This window comes from Homo sapiens, chromosome 7 (genome assembly GCF_000001405.40).
Source record: "Homo sapiens chromosome 7, GRCh38.p14 Primary Assembly".
Taxonomy (NCBI): Eukaryota; Metazoa; Chordata; class Mammalia; order Primates; family Hominidae; genus Homo; species Homo sapiens.
Window position 1 is genome coordinate 45,558,275 of NC_000007.14, and position 21,131 is coordinate 45,579,405.

The following is a 21,131-nucleotide window of genomic DNA, read 5'->3' on the forward strand; positions in this document are numbered from 1 at the left end:
CCAAGGGTACTTCTGATCTGATTCTCTAGGCAGAGTCTTTCCTTTCTTCCCTCCCTCTTCCCTTTCTTAACCTTTGACATGAAAACCTTTTTTTTTTTTTTGACAGAGTCTTGCTCCATTGCCCAGGCTGGAGTGCAGTGGTGTGATCTCGGCTCACCTCAACCTCCACCTCCCGGGTTCAAGAGATTCTCCTGCCTCCCGAGTAGCTGGAATTACAGGTGCATGCCACCATGCCCAGCTAATTTTTGTATTTTTAGTAGAGATGAGGTTTCCTCATGTTGTCCAGGCTAGTCTTGGACTCCTGACCTCAGGTGATTGGCCCGCCTGGGCCTCTCAAAGTGCTGGGATTACAGCTTGAGCCAGCATGCCTGGCCAAAAACTTTCAAACATACCAAAAAGTGGAAAGAGTTTTCATTGACTGAACCAATTCCATGAAAGTTATAGACACAGTGAAACTTCATCCCTGAGCACTTCAGTATGCATTGCCTAAAAATAAGGACATTAGTTCATCCTCCCTGTATCATTATCAATCTTAAGAAAATTAAGTCCACTGGCCACTTAGTCATTCTCTAATATCGTTCAAGACCAGGCCATGTTCACATTTCCATCACTGCTCCCCAAAAGCTCTATTATGGGCTTGCTTATATAAACTAGGATCCAATCAATATTCTTGGATTGCAACTGGTGATCAGTATGTTTCTTTTATTCTGGAACAGTCCTCATGCCTTTTTGTATAAAATAGAAGGTTTTATTTCCCCTTACATGTAATCATCCAAATGGGAGTGGGTGGTCTAGGGCAGGCTCATCCACCTACATCATGGAATTCCATTCCTGGGTCCAAAGTGGTGGCTCCAGTTGTCATTTTCTACCAGACATCAGGAAGGAAGAAAGGAGGAGTGGAAGAAGCACCCTCCTGCACCCTCCGCCCCCAACAGTGGGGCCAACCCTCTCCTGCTGAAACTGCCTTTGCAGATTATGGCAGTGAGAGAAGGCTAGCATGGATGACTCCACCTTGCATCTAGCCTCACAGGCTGGCTCTCCTCACTCACTCCTGGGCATAGGCCAAGCTAACCACGGGAGGAATTTAGTTTATGGTTTAACTTTGAAACAAGGATGATAATAGTTTCTGTCTAAAACTGACCCCCTTTTGTTTGGGGACTGAAACTACCTTTGTAAGACTAATGGAAGGCCACAGGATTAGGATTATGGGAGGGGCCTGAATTCAGCTAAAATGTAGGCAGAGTTAAATGATAACCAGCCATTGTTTTCCAGCTTGCTTTTCCATCATCCTTTGCTGCTCAGGAGTCATGTGGCCAGTGGTCACAAGATTGGTGACTCTCCTAACTGCTCTTATAGAAACTAAGATTGGTCTTTTGAGATGTTTTTCAGACTTTTGCATTATAGTGGCCAACTGACTCTACCTGAACCCATGACTCATGACTCAACTGGTCCTGTGACCCCCACCCAGAGGCTGGCTTAGCACACAAGGACAGGTTTTCTACACCCTTATGATTTCATCCCCAACCAATCAGCCGCACCCATTCCCTAACCCCCTGCCCACCAAATTATCCATAAAATCCCTAGCCTCTAAGTTCTCCAGGAGGCTGATTTGAGTAATTACTCCCACCCTTCTGTTTGGCTATACCTGTGATTATTAAACCTTTTCTCTACTGCAATACCACTGTCTCAGTGAATTGATTTTATCTGAGCAGCAGGCAGGAAGAATCCATCAGGCAATTACACTTCTCCCCATGCCCACTTCCCTGCAGTGGGGCTCATCTTCTCTTCTTCCCCTCACCCACTCTCTTGCCCCCTCACCCCAGTGGGGCTGATGCTCTCCTCTTCCCCTCCCCAACTGTTACCACTCCTGGGGCTGACCCTCTCCTCCTCCTATCTCCCATCCCCCTCAGTGGCTGATCCTCTCCTCAGAAGGCCCTGGCTGTGACAATCTGGCTTCCTTCACTCCCCAGTCTCTCAGCACTTCCACAAAGGTCAATTAATCACTTCATTTGAGAGTCACCCTCCCTTTTACAGATGAAAATGTTGAGACCTAGAGATTAGGGTCTCACCTGGACAGTTGAGCAGAAAGAGACTGTGAAAGTAAGTAATTCAAAATTCAAGCTACTAAAACTCTAAATTATTTTTATTATGGGGCCTGAGTCATGTAACAGACAGCTGTAACCTAGGCAGCTGCAAACTTTTGTTCCTCTGATTACAAAGTTAAATCTTTCTATTAGCTGCATTGTTTTGTAAAACATTGTAAATGGCCAAAGGGCACCAGGAATACCCCTTTTCTCTCTGCTGCTGATTTTCATTGTAAATTCACCTCTCTCTTACCTTTTTCACCCAAAACTTCTTGGCTATCACATTTCGTTAAGGTAGAATGCTAAGGGAGCTGTGGTGGCTCAGGCTGGTTACCCTGGCACTTGGGGTAGGTAAGGCTACACGTTCAAGGTCAACCCGGTCAACATTGATTTAAAAAAAAATTTTTTTTTAAAAAGGCCAGGTGCAGTGGCTCACGCCTGTAATCCCAGCACTTTGGGAGGTCGAGTCAGGTGGATCACAAGGTCAGGAATTCGAGACCAGCCTGGCCAATATGGTGAAACCCCATCTCTACTAAAAATACAAAAAAATTAGCCAGGTGTGGTGGCATATGCCCATAATCCCAGCTACTTGGGAGGCTGAGGCAGGAGAATTGCTTGAATCTGGGAGGCAGAGCTTGCAGTGAGCCGAGATCGCACCATGGCACTCCAGCCTGGGTGACAGAGCGAGACTCCGTCTCAAAAAAAAAAAAAAAAAAGAATGCTAAATACGATCTCTTAAATTGGAAATAAAATGAAAACCAGCTAGAAAGAAAACAAACCACACGGGAAAAAAAAAGCCAAACTATAACTAACAGTTTGTTGTAACTCATAAACCAGCCTTGTATAGAAAATGTTGTAATGCTGTAAAATTTCTTCATCTTCTTCCTATATAAGCAATAATGTTGCCTTTAACTAGGGAGCACTGACCCCATTTCTCTGGAGTTTGTGTGTCCTGGTGTGGCCATCCCCAGCTTTTTGCTTCAAGAAATCTTTAAAATGGGATTCTGGCCCTTTTGATTATTTTAGCTTGACAAGGTCAAGGGCAAATAATAAACCTGCAGAGTGTGCATTGGTAGATACTGAGCTTGGCAGATTTTCATAAAGTGAATGCCCCCTCCAAGTAACTCCCTCTAAAACTAAGGTACAGCACCCAGGAGCATCTCTAAGGCCTGCTTGGCATGCTCAAGGGCACAGGTGTGTGGCCCAGGGCCAGGGGCACAGGAGGCTGGGGTTTTGGGGCCATGTCTCTCCCACCCCAGTAGCCAAGAGCCAGCATGATCTGATGTTGCTGCATGTGTCAGGCCATTCTTGCATTGCTATAAAGAAATACCCATGCTGGGTAATTTGGCTCATGGTTTTACAGGCTTTACAGGAAGAATGGTGCTGGCATCTGCTTCTGGGGAGCCCTCAGGGAGCTTTTACTCAGATGCAAGGTGAAGTAGGAGCAGAGACCATCACATGGTAAGAGGTGGAGCAAGAGTGAGGAATGGGGGAGGGTGCCACACACTTTCAAACAACCAGATCTCATGAGAAATTTTTCACCATCACATGGAAAGCACCAAACAATGAAGGATCCGCCCCCATGACAAAAACACCTCCCACCAGGCCCCACTTCCAACATGGGATTACATTTCAACATGAGATTTGGAGGAGTCAAATATCCAAACCATATCACTGCACCCTTGTCAGCACTTCTGAGTTGAGCCATTCTCCTGGGTACACATGTAGTGGCATCTCCTTGGAGTTTTAATTCTCTCGTGATGACTTCAGTAGAATTTTGACTCTTGCAGTTTCTCCCTGTGAATGTTAATTAAGGAGCGATAACTAACCAGTTACCCCCTGCCTGTGTAAAGCACCAGAAGAAAAGCTGGTAAAAGAAAAGACAGAGAGTTTGTCAGGAGAAGTTTGTCAGGGCTTGGCAAAGGTTTGCATGAGCCAACCCCAGTGCTCTGGGCTTCTACTCCTTTGAGTTGCAAGTGAAAGCTTTCTGGCAAATGCAATGGTAAAAGTATGTGTGAATATTAATAAGAAATATATATATATATGTATTTTTTTTCAGACAGAGTCTAGCTCTGTCACCCAGGCTGGAGTGCAGTGGCGCAATCTCAGCTTATTGCAACCTCCGCCTCCCGGGTTCAAGCAATTCTCCTGCCTCAGCCTCCCTAGTAGCTGGGATTACAGGTGTGCACCACAATGCCTGGCTAATTTTTGTACTTTTAGTAGAGACAGGGTTTCAACATGTTGACAAGGCTGGTCTCAAACTCCTGACCTCAGATGATCCATCTGCCTTGGACCCCCAAAGTGCTGGAATTACAGGCGTAAGCCACTGCGCCCCACAGAAATCTATATATTTGGTCTCTGTCCACGCATGCATGGTTCCTGACACACAGTTCCTAGAACACTTGGAATCTCTGAAGTGGTAAGTGTCTTTGTATTCTGATGAGATTACTGGTGGCTGGGGACACCTGCATAGCTTCAGGATGGGGACTGGTTGCCAGGGGAACCAGTTCCAACTTTCAGCTCTACCTTTGAATTCTGGGGAGGGGAGAGGGGCTGATGGTTGGGTTGATCACCAATGGCCAACTGTGTAATCAATCTTGGTTACATAATAAAACCTCCAAAAGGAGAGAGTTCAGAGAGCTCGTGTACTGGTGAACAAGAACACATCCAGGTGCTGAGAGGATGGCACTCCCCAAAACTTTTCAGAGACAGAAGCTCCTGTGCTCAGAACCCTTCCGAATCTCACCCTTCAGGTCTCTTCATCTGGCTGTTCATTTGTATCCTTTCACATATCTTTTGTAATAAACTGGTAACTTAATAAATACAATGTTTTCCTGGGCTCTGTGAACCACTCTAGCAAATGATGGAAACTGAGATGGGGGTTGTGAGGGGTTGTGAGAACCTCCAATTTGTAATCAAGTTGTATGGAAGGTGTGGGTGACCTGGGGGCCTATTACTTGAGATTGGTGCCTGAAGTAGTGGCAGTCTATGGGACCAAGACCTTAACTTGTGGGGTCTGAGGCCAACTCCAGCTAGATAGTGTCAGAATTGAGTTGAATTGTTCCATCCCAGCTGGTGGTGCGGAAAAAACTCATACATTTTGATAACCAGAAGTATTCTGTGTTGAGTGTAAATACACAGTTGGGAAAAATAATGGTATTTTCCTATATACTTTGCAAGGAGGACAAATGATTCGGAGGGGGCCCAGTCTCCCATGGAGAACAGCAAGGTACATATAGAGAAGGCAAGGAACAGATCAAGAGTCCCCAGTGGGGGATGCAGGTGACTGGAAGGCAGGTGTGCTGGGGGAGGGAGTGCCCAGGGCTGAGACAGCACTGTCAGGATTCCACCAGGATTCCCATAAGTGGGTTTCCTGGCTGTAGCATTCCTCCAATGCATTCAAGCACAGCATTTCTTTTTTTAGGATTTTCCTCAGGACTTGAGTGCTGTAAAAACACACCCTAGGGGATGCTTTGAGGCACTAGGAAGTCAGCAATTTTTTTAGAGCAAGAAATGGGTAAGACCCGCTCTACATTTTAGGAAAGATGTGCTGGTGACTGAGCGGCGGAGGGAGAGGAGGCTGGAGACAGAGGGCAACTGGTGGCAGCTCTAGTAGTCCTGGCAGGAATTGGCAAAGACCTGAATGAAGGCAGCAGCGGTGGGCAAGGGGCAGAGACGCACAGGAGGAAGCTATTTCAGGATACATCTATAGGACTTGGTGACAGATTTGGTGTGGGGAGGAGAGGGAGGCGTGGAGTGTGGCTGCTGGGTTCCTGGCTGGGGTTAGGTGGTGTATGGAGATGCAAAGGATCCAGAATGGATTGGGTGGGCCACATGCTGACATGGGCGTTGTCACGAACCTTCAATGTGATTGGAGCTGCCACCCTTTCCTGGCTCTTTAGCATGAGAAGGGCCAGCTTAGCCAGAACCCCAAAAGCGGCCAGCAGGGACCACGCTGGGCACAGGTCCAGGGACAGCAGTGAGGCTCTGCTGAGCGGTCTGCCGAGCCGCTGGCCCTCTCCATGAACCTCACGGCTCATCTCTCAGGTCCCTTCAGTGCAGCCGCTGCATTTATACAGTCTAAGTCCCCTACCCTTAAAGGAGATGCAACATTTATTTTAAAATCTCTCTGAGGTTTTGGTTTTCCTTTTAATCCCAAATGGCCTTTTAAGCTTCTGGCTCCTATATTTAACCTATCTAATGAGATTTCTTTTCCAGTAATTCCTGAAACTGGTAATCTCTAATTGGGTCAAATTCTCTACCCACAAGCCAGCGATTCTATTTTTAGTGCAAATCCTCAGGCTGAAGCTCCTCCGGCCTTTCAGACGCAGCTGTCAGAGCCGACTTTCCGCCACACTCCGCTCTCCCGAGCCAGACCCTATTTTGAATATTTTCCCAGTGCATTTCAGGGTAGGCCTGACTGTCCGGCCCTCCTGGCCTCCCCTCCATCTTCAGCCCCCAGGATGGCTTACACAAATCCATTTAGTGCTCATCAGCTTAGGTCCCCAGTGTTACCATAAATAACCAAGTCCAGGCAGCCAGCTTGGGGAAAGCACCTGAGCCCTCCCCATTCCTGTTGCCTTTTGTCCTAGTTGTGGGTGATCCACCTGGGAGAAGGACACGTAACACAGCAGAAAGACAACCCCAGTTTCTGTTACCAAGAGCGTTGCTGACCCTGAAAGTCACTGGGGATTTGGAGAATTCCTTTCTGCCATCCTTATTTGGCCAGGGGACTCCGCCCATTCTGAGGATGCATGCAGGCCCCCCAATCCTGCCTGCAGCCTTCTCGGGTGCTTCCAAGTGGGAAGTGGCCCCTTCTCCAAGCCCTGATATCAGTGTCCTCACCAGTGTCAGATTTTACTGCCCTGGGTGCTGCTTGCTCTCCCGCCTCCCTACCTCCACCCCTGCACTGCGAGCTCCTGGAGGGCAGGGTGGGTCCTGCCTCTATCTCTGTGTCTCCGCAACTGTGCACAGTGTGTCCGAGGCAAGTAACCCACCTTTATCACAAGGCTGCCCTCAGGGGGCCTCTGCCTGGGGAGACCCTGGCTCCAGCTCCCGTTTGAGATGCACACATCTCAGCTCAGCTTGAGGGGCCAGGGAGAGCACGAGCTGAGTTTGGTATGGGTGTGCATGTGTTCAGAGTCCACCATGCTGAGCCGATCACCATGGGGACCAGGGCTAGGAAAGCCCCAGCCCTGTTTCTTTAAAAGTAAGGATGCTGGTGAGAAGGGAGGCAGGCTCAGGGTGTCCATGGTTTCTTATCACCTGCCCAGCCTTCCCCACAATGTCTTTACCCCTCAGCAGGCTCTGCTAAGCAACAGCCCTCCATTGGGCTGTGTCCACAGTGAGACTCTGCTCTCTCTGGAAGGTTCTTTCCCACTTCCCACCCTCACAGAGACACTCAAAAGAAGGAGACCAGGCCAATTTCACCTTTACCTCACAAACCTCAAGTCTTGAATTTGGGAAGACATTCCCAGTTTCAAACAATTTGACCACTGGTAGTCTCTGGATGTGGCTTGATTTTGATTCACGAAAATAGAGTCACCATATCCATAATTTTTCCCTTCTGTTGACTTTGGCCAAACTTTCCATGATGGTTAATGTTATTGTCAACTTGACTGGGTCACAGGGCCCAGATATATTTGTGGTCAGACATTATTCCGGATGTTTCTGTGAAAATGTTTTGGCATGAAATTCACATTTAAATCAGTGGACTTTGAGTGAAGCAGCATGCACTCCCCAATGTGGGTAGGCGTCATGTAATCAGCTAAAGCCTGAAGCGAACAAAAAGACCAACCTTCCCCAAGGAAGAAGGAATTCTCCCACAGATGGGCATTGGACTTGAACTGCAGCATGGGCTCTTCCCTGGGTCTCCAGCCTGCTAGTTCGCCCTGCAGATTTCAGACTTACCAGCTTCCATAATTACATGAGCCAATTCCTTAACATAAATCTATTTTTCCATATGTATATATGTATGTATATATAGATATACACACATCCTATTAGTTCTGGTTCTCTGGGGTGCCCTGACTAATATACTCCCCTTGTCCGGCAGATTCCAGATATCACCACAAAGTGTCCTTCCTGAGAAAGCTGTGTGAACATGTATCAAAATCAACCAGGAGGTGCTGGAAGAAAGCGGGCAAGTTGTGGCCTGGTTGTACAAATGCTCCTGAGTGATGTGATGCTCAGCAGGGAAGAACCCTAGGGCAGCTGCTGTTTCTCTCAATGCCACATTCCCTGAGTACCTTTGGGCATCCTGGTCATGCCGGCCAAGAATTGCTGTCCATTGAAAACACACCCAAACAGGATATGTGGCAAAGACCGGGCACTATTTATAAAGTCAGCAGTCATTCCCAAGTCCATCTGGGACAAGCAAAAACCTGTCCCAAGAATCCACACTCAAGGCTGACATCCTTGATCGAAAGCCAGATAGAACATGGACAGGGATGGACCTCAGGAAGTCCCCTATGAGGGTGATGTCCCCCCCAGCCAGCTCCACTTTTTGACTGGAGGAGTCCTAAACAAATATACATGCCATGGTTTCTAATTTGCAGCATCCCAGGGAGCATAGCAAGGACAGAGCATGTACCACACGCCATGTTTTCCACCAGATAGGAGAGCTCACCTTCATTCTCAGGAGTGGAGAATTGCAGTTCTTTAGTATACCTGCTGTAAATCTAATTTCTTTTCAATTTAGTAGAAAGAAATTGCAATTAAAAAGAACAAGACCAAGATGCACCTGCTTTGGGCTCTTGAGTGGTGTGCGGCGTACATCAGGGAAGATGGTTCTGCCTTGGGAAAACCCAAGTGGGTGTGGGGGTGGGCTGGAATTACCTGCTGTCTCCATCCAATAGTTTGGACAGAATGGAACAGACAGGCTTCAGCGCTCTGCATAAGGATAGTATCGGGGTGTTAAAGTTTTTGCTGGAAGTTAAAGAAGCTGGGGCATCAGTAGGCCTGAAATGGGGTGGGGGAAACAGAAAGGGTCTCAAAGGGACTTGTGGGACATCAGGGTCCTAGTGCACTGGGGCCAATGGAGTCCTGGAAAATGAAGTCTTAGGACATCTGGATCTTATGTTCAGTTTGAAAATATCTCCCCTGAGCAGTGCTGTGCTCCTTCTTTCTCTCATCCTCTGTGAAGTTTGCTGTGCAGAAGAGCTTTGCTTTGCTCTTAGAGGATAAAGGAATGTTAGAGGATAAAGGAATGAGGGGAAGGTGTATGGTGGGAGAAGACAGAAGAAAGAGGCCATCAAAGAAATGCAAGCCCCACCCATTCCTGCAGATGTTGGGGACACTGGTTTTCCCTTAATACAAGGGAAAACCCTCTGCTGGCCCCAGGGGAGAAGGTCATGTTGTAAGCCAGCAGGATTAGGGACCATGGGATGCCAGCAATGGCTACTCATGGAATCTTAGAGATCAGTGCCCTCATGCCATATGGGGCCTGAGTTTCCAGAGGCATCTCTAGCTGTGGGTTGAGTGAGATCATATTTACAGTAATCAATCCAATGTCCAGCACTCAGGCCTGGCCTGATGCACAGCCTCTAGCCATCTACCATGGTCCCCATCCCGGGGTCATCCAGACCCTTCCACCCTGGCCCATGGCTGACATCCACTGCTGTGAGACCACTTCTTGTCTCAGCAGTGCAACACAGAAACTTCACAGGGACTTCAGCTGTGTGTAGGAGGGGAGAGCAGCTTCTGCCCACCCAGTGTCAGGGTACCACATCCTGCACCTCTGGGAATACAGGTCTCCCTGCTGCTGCCTCTAGCCCTTCCTTTTTGGGGCTGGGCACTCTCACATAACCCAGCATGGCTTTGACAACTTGCAGCTCCTCATGCACTGTTATCTCCTAAATCCATTGCTGCATTCCCTCTATTTGCACCGCCTTACCCTGGTGCAGCCCCCACCCCCCACCTCCCACGTTACGACCTTGGCAATAGCCTCCTCATCCAGTCTTCTCAGAGAGTCGTGTGAGGGCCAGATGCTGACCAGCCACCACCTCACCATCATGACCCCTTTTCTGCATGTTGGGGTACACCCAAGCCATGCCAGAGCCATGCTCTTCTGGCTCCTTTCTCTAGAAGCACCGGGTATATTTATGGTCACATATTTAGGATTATTGGGTTAGTATCTGCCTCTCCCACCTAGCCAGGGTTCCTGATAGAGTGAACCCCACCTACTCTGCTCAATACTGTATTATAAGTGACAATGATTATACATAAACCTCCTCCTGCCAACCAGTTCTCCCTGCAAGGCAGGACACACAATCATGTTTATCTGACTCCTGATGTCCCTTAGTCCAGCCTGAGACCCTGGCATGGCATTGAGGACAATGAGACCTCCAGGGTAATCCTCCCACGAGCATTACCCACAGTCACATGGAGGTGAATGGCAAAGCCGGCTCTGAAGCCTCACTCAGTCCTCTCACTCAGTCTGCTTCCCATGATGCAAGGGAATGCCACACAGTGCAGAACAGTGATGCTTGGAGTGGCCAAATTGGTGAGATCAGATCTTGCCGCCCTTGTGCACACAGGCTGCTGCTGACTCACCCTCCAGCCCCTTTATCCAGTTGTAGCTCCTGCCTTTAGCTCTAGGACCCTTCCACTGGGTTCCAGCTGTCTGGGTGGTGCCCTCCCTCCCACGTTCTAGGACTGGAGGAAATGGGTGACCAGCAACCCCCACCGTGGTCATGTAGCCTGGCCAGGCCGGGCAGGGTGACATGGGCCAGTAGCGGGAGTCACCACCCAGTGGCCCTCCCCAGACCCCAGAGCGGTGGGTCTGACTGAGCTCAGCTGTTCCCTGCTGAGTGTAGACGTGATTCTGCCATTGCTGGCCCTTCTATTATGACAGCCAACACAGTCATAGTTTTGGATTAAGGTAGTTTGAGTTTGCGTTGGGGTTTTCTGTCACTTTTTGACTGGAAGAGTCCTAAACAGATATACATGCCATGGTTTCTAGTTGCCATCTGCAAGGGAATTAAAGACCCCTTCATTTGTCCCCACATGCTCCAAGAGGAAATACTCAGGGGGGCTGGGTCCCACACTGTGTCTTGCATCAGATGAAGTCAGGAGTTGGGAGCTGCCCCTATGAAGGGGAGAGTTGGGGAGGAGGCTGCATCTTAGGGTCTGATCTGTCTGGGCTGAGCCCCACTGATGTCAGCTGGTTTCCAGTGTTTCACTGTTTTGAGCCTGTTGTGTGAATCATTTGATTACCTAGAAATTGCTGTGACAAAATTAACTTTACTGACTATCCTATAGACACAAATCAGCAACCTCTTTCCTAAACAGCCTCATTTCCACAAGTGGCTCAGAGTCAATCGACTATATAGAGGCTGCTCTCTCTTTTACAAATTCACAAGGGAAATTTGTCCCAAAAGACAAAGCATGAGTGGAGTACGATACACACTCATCTGGAAGCCAAACGTCTGACCAAAGTCAGTGGAAATCAATGAGCTCTCCCAGGACAGAAGCTGGTTAGCTGGCTTCCCTGGCTGTCATGGCTGCTGTCCAGATGCCTAAATGGATATATTTTGCTCTAAGAGTTTGAATGGCACTCACCCACTTCTGTCTACCCAGAACACTGAATTGTTAGAGGAAAAATTGTTGACAGGGCTGGTTGCTCTGCTTTATACTTTGTGTGTATAAAGTGTAGGCTCTGTGTGCATGCGGGCCTCTCTTCCGACCATAACCCTGGGGGCCAGGTGCTAAGTTCCCAAACTACAGAAGAGGAGAAGCACAGAGAGGTTGAGTAACTTGCTAAAAGTCACAGCTGGGAGGGGTGGTGTTGACATGTTAGCCCAACAACCCACCTCAGGGGTCCACACTCTTTTAGCCATGATATCATGTAGTTTCCCCTGTGGTGGCTATGAACTGGGTCAGATGGGCTGAGGCTCCAGGATGGGCCCACCCTGCACCACCCCCATGATCTGGGCAATTCATTTAGTTTCTACAAAGACCAGGACCTTCAACAGTTATGGGGCTCCAATGCAAAGGTAGACTAGAGAGATTTGTAAATGGTGAAAAGCCACACCCAGTGGTGTTATTGTAGCAAGAAGCACTGCACAGAAAACCAAATACCACATGTTCTTACTTATAGGTGGGAGCTAAACATTGAATATACATGGACAAAAGGATGAGAACCATAGACACTGAGGACTGCTAGACAGGGAGGGAGGGGGACATAGACTGGAAAACTACCTATTGGGCACTATGCTTATTACTTGGGAGATAGGATCTGTACCCCAAACCTCAGCATCATGAAATATACCCATGTAACAAACCTGCACGTGCACCCCCCTGAATCTAAAAAAAAAAAGGTAAAAAAAAAAGAAGCATTGCAGTCATGTCTTGAATAAGGCACCGGCCTCCCATATTGGGAGAGAGAGGGAAAGAACTAGAGCCCCCACCATGTGAACAAGCAGGCTCAAATTATCCAACGAGTTTGTTTTTATTGAGAAGAAGTGTATCTGTGGCTATATGGAAGTAATTGCATGCCCATTCTCCCAGATGTGCAGAGACAATGTCGCGGATGATGGTGCCCTGCTATTTGCTGGCCTCTGATGAAGGAGGCAGGTGCTCCCCCGAAGAGCAGAATCGCTCATTGTGGGCCTCACAGCACCCCCCTCCCCCGCCCTTGGCTGTTGTTCTTTATTTACCCAGTGCAACACGAAACCTTAGCCAGGGTAGACTATATGTTAGGTGTATTTTTTGGCTTGGGCTACCATACAAACCCACTGCAGACTGGGTGGGTTTACACAACAGACATTTATGGTCTTGAAGTTCTGGAGGCTGGAAGTCCGAGATCAAAGTGTCGGCAGGGCTGGTTGCTCTGAAGGTTCCAGGGGACCATCTCTCCTGGCTTCTGGTAGTTCCTTGGCTTGTGGCAGCATCAATCCAATTTTCACTTGGCGTTCTCCCTGTGTGTCTGTGTGTCCACATTTTTTATAAGACACCAGTCATATTGGAGGAGAGGCCCACACTACTCCAATATAGCCTCATCTTAACTAATTACATCGGCAATGACCTTATTTCCAGATAAGGCCACATTATGAGGCAGGGATTAGGACTTCAGCATATAAATGGTGGGCAGAGGGGACCACAATTCAACTTTTGACACCCACTAAGAGGACATCTTGCAATCACTTTGTCGTATCTCAGATAATTTCCCTGTTATGCCTGGTGCAAACTGCCCATCTGAAGGCCTTCTTCTTCCAACCTGGGAAATGTGGAGACAGTATTAACATATTCACAGCTCAAGTCCACACCACTGACAATAACAATTTTCAATTCTTACCCCTCCCAGGGTTTAACAACACGAGTTGGAGGACCCCCAGATTCCCACCAGAATCTGGTCCTCTCTGTGCCTTGGGGCCAGCTCCAGAGCATGTCTAGGTCTCTGCTTCTTCATCAACAAAATGAGGGTGATAAAATCTGCCTTCCAAGATGCCATGGAGCATCAATGAGAACTACAGACATGAGAATGACATGTAAACCACACCACACCATGTATCCCTGGATACTTTATTAGGACTTCATATTAGGACAAGCATGTGTGACAGTAAGCAAAGGGTACTGCACCTATGACTGAACCTCTTTCCGTCCAAAGCCTAATCTGAATCCTTATAACCTCGTTTGAAAGCAGTTGCTGCCAATCTTGCCAATGATTTTCTTTTTTTTCTTAAAGAGACAGACTCTTATTAAAAGAGAAGTCACCCAGGCTGGAGTGTAAGATCATGGTTCACTGCAGCCTCAAACTCCTGGGCTCAAGTAATCCTCCCACTTTAGCCTCCCTTAAAACTCATTTGCCGCTGGGACTAAAGATATGTACCATCACTTTCAGCTAATTTTTAAATTTTTGTTGAGATGAGGCTTCCTTATGTTGCTCAGGCTGCTCTCATGTTCCTGGACTCAAGTGATCCCCCTGCCTTGGCCTCCCAAAGTGCGGAGATTACAGGCATGAGCCACTGCACCTGTCTGAATGTCATTTTTTGAGTGAGGACAAAGTTGAGAGCCAAAACAGGTAAAAGAAGGTGCCATTTATTTGTAAACTTTGCACCCAGATTAACTTTATCATACTTTTTCATTTTCATGTAGTTTGATCCTTTTTGGATATTATTCAGCTTTTCTTTAATAAATTGTTAGGATCCAAAAATATACCACACCAGTTAACAAGAAAATCTTCACTTCAATCTTAACACTTGAAAAGAAAAATCTTGCAGACTTTGCTCCTATTTGGGGATAAGCAGGGGACTAGTGGATAGAAGAAGGTGCTTTCTCAAGTCAGTGACAGAGGTTGGGCCATGCCATCTTTTCAGAGCCAGTGCTGCCCTCTGAGGGCTTCAGCTCAAAGAGGGGAGGAAGGCAAATGAACAGAAAATGAGGCTACAGAGTGGTGGGTATGAATTTTCACGGAAGACTGGGACTGGGGAGAAAGCAACGAGCTGTGCCAGAAGGAGCCAGAAAGGTTTCAGAAAGGATGTTCTGTTGGGGATGCTATTCCAGGAGGAGGGACCAGCTGTCATCAAGTGTCTGCTGGGGGCCTTTGGTGTGAGCTACTGGGGACATGGGATGGGAAAGTGCCCCTACTCTAGACAAAGCCTAGAGGTGTCATCATCTGCAACTATTAAGTTGAAGCATATGAAAGAGCTGACATGTGACAACTTTGGCCCTTTTACAAAAACGGCAATTTTGTATGGTTCAACCTGATACCAATTCCAGATAAAATGGAAATGCCTCAAATTCTAACCTTTGTTCCGTATAACAACACGTGGAATCCCTGAGAGTTAATGGAATCCCTGGGGCATTTCTAAAATAGACCAATGCCTGGGCGAGATCCCTTAAATCCTGGTTTCTGGGAGTGGGGCCTTCTGCAGGGGGCCTAGCCTCCTGGTCTCCATTATTTCATGGGATCCCAGTTCCTGGTCTATCCATATTGAGGGGACGAGAAGCAGCCGGGATAACGGAGGAGGCAGGGGTTCTTGCAGTGGCTACTCCTCTCTAGGCCTCCTGGAGGGAGCTGATCATGAGAGATCCTCACTGTAAGGGGGATGCAGGCAGCCCAGGGGCCGTCTGAGCACCAAATGACATCATGTACTTGAAGCACCAGCACAAAGTTGTCTCCCTCATAGTGAATGAATGTAAGCAGTGGAATTCGACTCGCGGGTTTTAACCCCCATGGGCCAGCGTCCTTCCCTCCCAATTGTCCTGCTAGAAGAAAACGTTTCGCTCTCTCTCGGGTATCCAGCTAATCGTTAAGGCAAACAGCAGCGCCCCTTTTCCTTTCATCTCTTGCCCCATTTCTGCACCTACAGCCTCACACCTTCTTCCCGGGACACAGCACTGCCAGGAGCCCATCCTGGTTCAGTTCAGTACCCAGGAGGAATCCCTCGGGCCGACTCCCAGGACTTTGTTTCTTGGACTTCACCACCGCCGCCTCCCCAGCACAGCTCCCGCAGCCCGCACCCGCCCACAGGGTCTCCGCGACCCTAGAGCTTAGGGAAGAATTGCCGAGGGGCGGGGGGTCCCTCATGCGCATGGAAGGGACGTACGCCCCAGGCCTCCACCTTCCTCCTGACCCCGGGGATTCTTGGACGTCGATTCTCCGTCTCGTAGGGGCGAGGGCCCTGGGTTCGCAGTCAGACGCGGGCCCCTCTCAAATCTAGTGGCCTGGTTTTATTGAGTGGGGGAAGGCACATATTTTCCAAGATTAACTGCCCCGCAACAGGGAATTTCGCAGGATTTCAGTATTTTCGACTCCCCAGGTGACGCCAAGAGGGTGGGTTCCACTGTGCACGGTGGGGAAACTGAGGCTCGGAGGGGACAAGGAAGGTACTCGAGGTCACGCGGCTCCTCCGGCGGGCGGGAACGCAGGACGCGGAGTTGGGGCGCGGGCTGTGCGCGCCCAGGTTCGCGGCTCCCGGGGCTCGGCTGTCGCAGCGCGGTCGCCGCCGAGGACCACGGTCGGGGCGCGGGCGGGCTCCAGTGCGCAGGCGCGGCGGGCGGGAGGGGACGCGCTCCGGGCGCGCGCGCGGGGCAGCCGGCGCCCCAACTCCGCCCGCCCCGCGCCCCGCGCCCCGGCGCCTCGCCGCCCGCCGCCCGCCCGCCCCGGCGCCGCCGCCCGCGCCCCGGCGCCCCGGGCCGGCGAGGGGCGCGCCCGCGGCCGCGGCCGCTGCATGGCGCTGAGATGGCGGGGGCGCCGCGCGGCGGAGGCGGCGGCGGAGGCGGCGCGGGCGAGCCCGGGGGCGCCGAGCGGGCGGCCGGGACAAGCCGCCGGCGCGGGCTCCGGGCGTGCGACGAGGAGTTCGCTTGCCCAGAGCTGGAGGCGCTGTTCCGCGGCTACACGCTGCGGCTGGAGCAGGCGGCCACGCTGAAGGCGCTGGCCGTTCTCAGCCTGCTGGCGGGCGCGCTGGCGCTGGCCGAGCTGCTGGGCGCGCCGGGGCCCGCGCCCGGCCTGGCCAAGGGCTCACACCCGGTGCACTGCGTCCTCTTCCTGGCGCTGCTCGTGGTAACCAACGTCCGGTCCCTGCAGGTGCCCCAGCTGCAGCAGGTCGGCCAGCTGGCGCTGCTCTTCAGCCTCACCTTCGCGCTGCTCTGCTGTCCTTTCGCGCTGGGCGGCCCCGCCCGGGGTTCCGCCGGGGCCGCTGGGGGGCCAGCGACCGCCGAACAAGGGGTTTGGCAGCTCCTTTTGGTCACCTTCGTGTCCTATGCCTTGCTGCCCGTGCGCAGCCTGCTGGCCATAGGCTTTGGGCTCGTGGTGGCTGCGTCGCACTTGCTGGTCACAGCCACCTTGGTCCCCGCCAAGCGCCCACGTCTCTGGAGGACGGTAAGTGCAGCCGCGCACCCCTCATCTGGTCTCGGACACACTTGCTGGGACGATGCTGGGAATGCCCGGAGTCGGGCGCGCTTTTTCCTATGCGGCGGGTGGGGACACTGAGGCTCCGAGTGGGGGTGTGTTCAAGGTCACTCCTACGAGTTGGGGACGCAGTCGGGGCTGGCACCCTCCGGCCAGGGCTCTCTTCAGAGTTACAATCCACGAAGCGCCCCTGGCGTGAAGTGTGGAGAGGGGAGACAGGTGTGGAGAGAGAAAGGTTTGGCCAAGGTCAGGGAGCTGATGAGCGGCCAGACGGCGGCCAGAGGGGTCCGCCGGTCTTTTGCCGCACCCATCCCCACAGAGGGACTGAAAGTGGGCGAGGAGAGCAGACCCCCAGGGCAAGCTCCAAGGCCGGCTCTGCGCGCAGCGCTGGGCTCTTCCCCTGCGCACCTAGAGCGCGTGCTGGGCTCGCCTCCCAACCCTGCGGACCCGAGGGTGGTATATGGGTGGTGGGAAAGGACTTCGGCTCTTCCAGCCTTGCTGGCCACCCTTCTGTGGACATGCCTCCGGCCCAGAAAGAGTGGGGTTTGCCAAGGTCAAACACAGTCTAGTCCCTGCCGCTGCCACTCGGCGGTTGCCCTGACCCTGCCTTTTCTGCGCCCGAACTTTGTCACTGTCTTCCCAGTCGGGCGGGCGAGATGGTTGCAAGGACGGGGACGCTGTCTGCCTCCCGCGGACTCTTCCTGGGCCCTGGAGGAGCCTGCTCTTCCAACTGCCCGGAGGTGGACGTGGACCAGAGGTCTTTGCCCCACGGCGGGGCTTTGAGAGCTTCCCCTTGTGCCCATCTCCAACGGGCCGCAGGGATGGGGCTGGGGAGTTGGGGGGTGGGGAGATTTGGAAGACCCTGAGGAGGGTTTTGTTTCTGCCTCTAGCTGCAGTTTAGCAGGGGGATGGTATGACTCAAATGGAGTGGGGGAGCCCATCTCACGAAAGGAAGCAGTGGTGGGAGCAAACTGGGGAGAGGTAAGGGGTCGGAGGGGAAGCTGAATCCAGAGAGATTAGGGAAGAATAACTGGGGGGCGGTGGTAAGGAGTCCCACAGCCCGGCCCCGGGGGACCAGCACCCAAGGATCTAAGGAGGCATCCTTAGACTGTGATGCCAGGGGCAGCACACAGTCAGAGGAGCCATGAGATGCTCAACCTGGCACAGGGATAGACACATCACTGGACTTGTGTCTTAGGGTCAGAGAGAGACCACCATGTGCTCAACCCGTGGGCAGGGGCGGGAGGGAAGAAGGCAGGAGTACATGGAGAATTGTCAAAGAGGGCGTCGGAGGAAGAGAGGAAGAGAGGTAGAGGTGAAGGGCAGAGGCACAAAAGGATGGCTAAAGGCTGAGGAAAGGGGAAAGGAGCCAGAGGACTTCATGTCCTGGAGGGGAAGGAGGCTCTTCCACAGCCTCCTGTGGGCAGCACGTGGGCCTTGCCTTATCAGTCTCAGGGGGCATTCCTGTATCTCCTACTGCCTCCACCCCCCATCTGTCTGTGTTTAGCCTGGGCCTCATGCTGGCCCCCACAGCCAGACCCGCAACCGCAAGACGGCCTCCCCAATCTGACCAGATGCCAGGGCAGCTTGGGAATAGGGAGGGGCTGAGCTTGGTCCCTGGGCAGGCCCAGGGATCCCAACCACACTGCATTCTCTCTTATTACACCAGGGAGTCAGCTGGTGTAATAAAAGGCTGCGTTATTGTCTTTCTCTTTTAAAATAAAGACATTTCCTATATAGCCTCTAGTCATTTCTTTTAGAGAATTAAAGATTAAAAAAGAGAGAGGGGAGAGTCTATAAAGGAGTTTCTGGACACAGGGAACTCTGCCTCTCCCCCTGGGATAAGATGAGCCCCTGTGACTGTCACTGTAGTGGGGAAGGAAGCCCATCCTGGGAGCAAGGATTCTTAGGGAGCAGACATCTGGGTTTCCCTGCTAGCTGTGACTCCCTGGGCAATCCAAAGCCTTCCCTCACTGAGCCTCAGGTTTCTCACCTGTGTAAAGGGCAGAATGGCCCCCTGCAGGGTTGTAGTGAAGGTAAACACTTCCTATTGGAAAAGCACATATTGGCCTTTTTAGAATGTTCTATTCAAGTCCACGTGTCTATACAGGTGGTAGTGATACTGACAAACACATGGGGATCAATGCAGGGAGACTTACAGTGGGGGGAGCAGGGCAGATGATTCCCAGGGATTCTGCTTTCCAATTAGAGAATTCCAGGAGCCTGTGAAATCTGTCCATAATGAGCTCTGCAGTTTGGTGCTTGAGATGGTGAAGAAGACAGCACACGCATTTACACAGCATTGATGTTTCTGCTGCTCTTCACTGCTTTACCATCCACTTTCTATTCAGACCTGTGCCACTGTGCAGTGCAGTCACTCGTTGACAGCACCTTGTCCTCCATACTGAGTTTTGGGCAGGTAGTAGCCATGCTGGGTGTGGAGTGGATGTCCCAAAGAGGATGAAAAATGGAGTGAATGAACGAAGGAATCTTTGCAGGGGATTTCCCTCACTGCATACATAGCAGGATGCTGCTTCAGAGTCTGAGATCTCCACAGTGATCTCCTGGTGCTGAGCCCAGTGAGTTCCAGAGTCGGGTTAACTCCATGGGGCAAAGGAGCTCCCTCCCTTGAATCCCACCCCTTTCTCTGAGACCCAAATGCCTTCTTATCAAGGATAGCCCTAAGGAGGCCTGGAAAAAGCCTGCGCTTTCTGAGGCCTGGGTTCAAGTCCCTGCTCTGAGCTATGGAGAAAGTTCTTGTGTTTTCTTTCCAGAGCCTTTGCCCCTCCAAAGCAAGGCTCTCAGGGTTCCCTGCAGCATTCATTGTTCCAGTTCTGGTGCACAGGGCTCTGGGAATGCAGCCTGGGTGCTTTGGGGCATCTGGTTCCTCTCCTGTAAAGCCCAAGCTGCCCCAGGACTCTGGGGGGCAGAGGAGAGAACGCTGAAAGCTAGTGTGCATGACTATTAGCACAGGTGGAATTGAGTAGCTAGGGCTTAGCTCCTCCCCCGGAGAAGTGCTTGATGCTGATGTCCCTGAGCAGAGAGGTCTTTAGGGGAAACAGCCTTGTTCCTACCTGGGCCGGCACTGAGGGGGAGGTATCCATAAATATGTGCTAAGTGGCCAGAACTGAGTTCCTTTCCTCTCCCAGCCCCTTGCTTTTGGGTCACTAATTGTACCTATATGACATACAATCCATTTTTATTTAGCCGAGCACCTGTCAGAACTGAAAGCATCCTATTCAAGACATCCTTGGCTGCTCACAGTCAGTAGGGGGCAAGGCCTGCCAGGGTGGGCTGAAGATCATGGGGGTGGGGTAGGGGTGAGTGCCAAGGACCATGGGGTATTAGGAAGGCAGAGAAAGGGAGACACTGGATGTCTGGGCTTGGCCTCTTGTGATGCCACTCACAGACTCAGAGAGCCTCAGAGGGAGCAGCTTGGAATCTTGGGAAAGGGGGGCCTGGGCAGGGCCCCAGTCCTTCCCACAGGAGTCCGCTTCCCACCCTGTGCCCTGCATTGCCTGGGGAGAACCAGGGTGCAGCACATGTGTGCAAGAGGAAGACCTGGTCTCTGCCAGCTCTGAGCTTCCTCCCTTTGCTACTTTACTCTGCACAGCCTTGAAATACCCACTTTTTGACCAGTGTGAATCAGGATATTGTATTTTTACCTAATTTTTTTCTGAAGTAGTAGGGATCCATTGCAGTGTGCAAATTATATGCTTTCAATTTCGTTGCTTATCAATGTAAATGAAATACATTTCTGTTCTGCCGAGTTCTTAGCTGTAGGCAGGATAACAGAAATCACGATTATCACGGAGAAATGGGAGTCAGCTGAAATTTCCCTGTGCAGCCCCAGTTATGTCTGAGCTCTGGTTCAGAACCATGGCTTGGTTGCTTGGAGGTGAAACAACCTAACCCCAGCACGCAGAATCATAGGGCTCAAGGGCCCTGGATGACCTGGTTGTTGATAGCAAAGCTCGTGGCCTAGGTGTGCGCTGGTGACACCAATCTGCCAGCCCTCAGGCTGTGTCCCGTATGCCTTTGTGTGCCCTGTGCCCACTGCCCAACATGCTGTCAACTCCCAGTTAACCCCATGCCCTGCCTCCCTTTCCCCAGCCTCTCCCTCTGCTGGCCCTACCTCCCCTGCTGGCCCCTCCTCTGGCTGGGCCTTCCTCCCCGGCTGGGATCCTCCTCCC

At 51.2% G+C, this 21,131-nt stretch overlaps 1 protein-coding gene across 4 annotated transcripts in view, besides 2 other annotated features; it reads left to right on the top strand.

The window, feature by feature from the left end:
• Nucleotides 15,108-15,668: an enhancer, noted in NCBI's record as "H3K4me1 hESC enhancer chr7:45612981-45613541 (GRCh37/hg19 assembly coordinates)". NCBI's record gives its function as "activates a minimal SCP1, AML or CMV promoter by ChIP-STARR-seq in primed H9 embryonic stem cells {active_cell/tissue: H9 hESC(primed)}" and the evidence as "EXISTENCE:reporter gene assay evidence [ECO:0000049][PMID:30033119]".
• The window catches only part of ADCY1 (adenylate cyclase 1), a 148,977-nt gene continuing 143,711 nt past the window's right edge, over nucleotides 15,866-21,131 (top strand). For 3 of the 4 annotated variants that reach the window (NM_021116.4, XM_005249584.4, XM_005249585.3), the window contains exon 1: nucleotides 16,094-16,908. In NM_021116.4, the coding sequence (NP_066939.1) occupies nucleotides 16,270-16,908 (639 nt within the window). In that variant the 5' untranslated portion in view covers nucleotides 16,094-16,269. Of the gene's footprint in view, nucleotides 15,915-16,093; nucleotides 16,909-21,131 lie in introns of those variants that run through there. The other variant, NM_001281768.2, reaches the window with a different exon arrangement.
• Nucleotides 16,480-16,579: a silencer, noted in NCBI's record as "silent region_18165". NCBI's record gives its function as "represses an Ori minimal core promoter by ATAC-STARR-seq in GM12878 lymphoblastoid cells {active_cell/tissue: GM12878}" and the evidence as "EXISTENCE:reporter gene assay evidence [ECO:0000049][PMID:35858748]".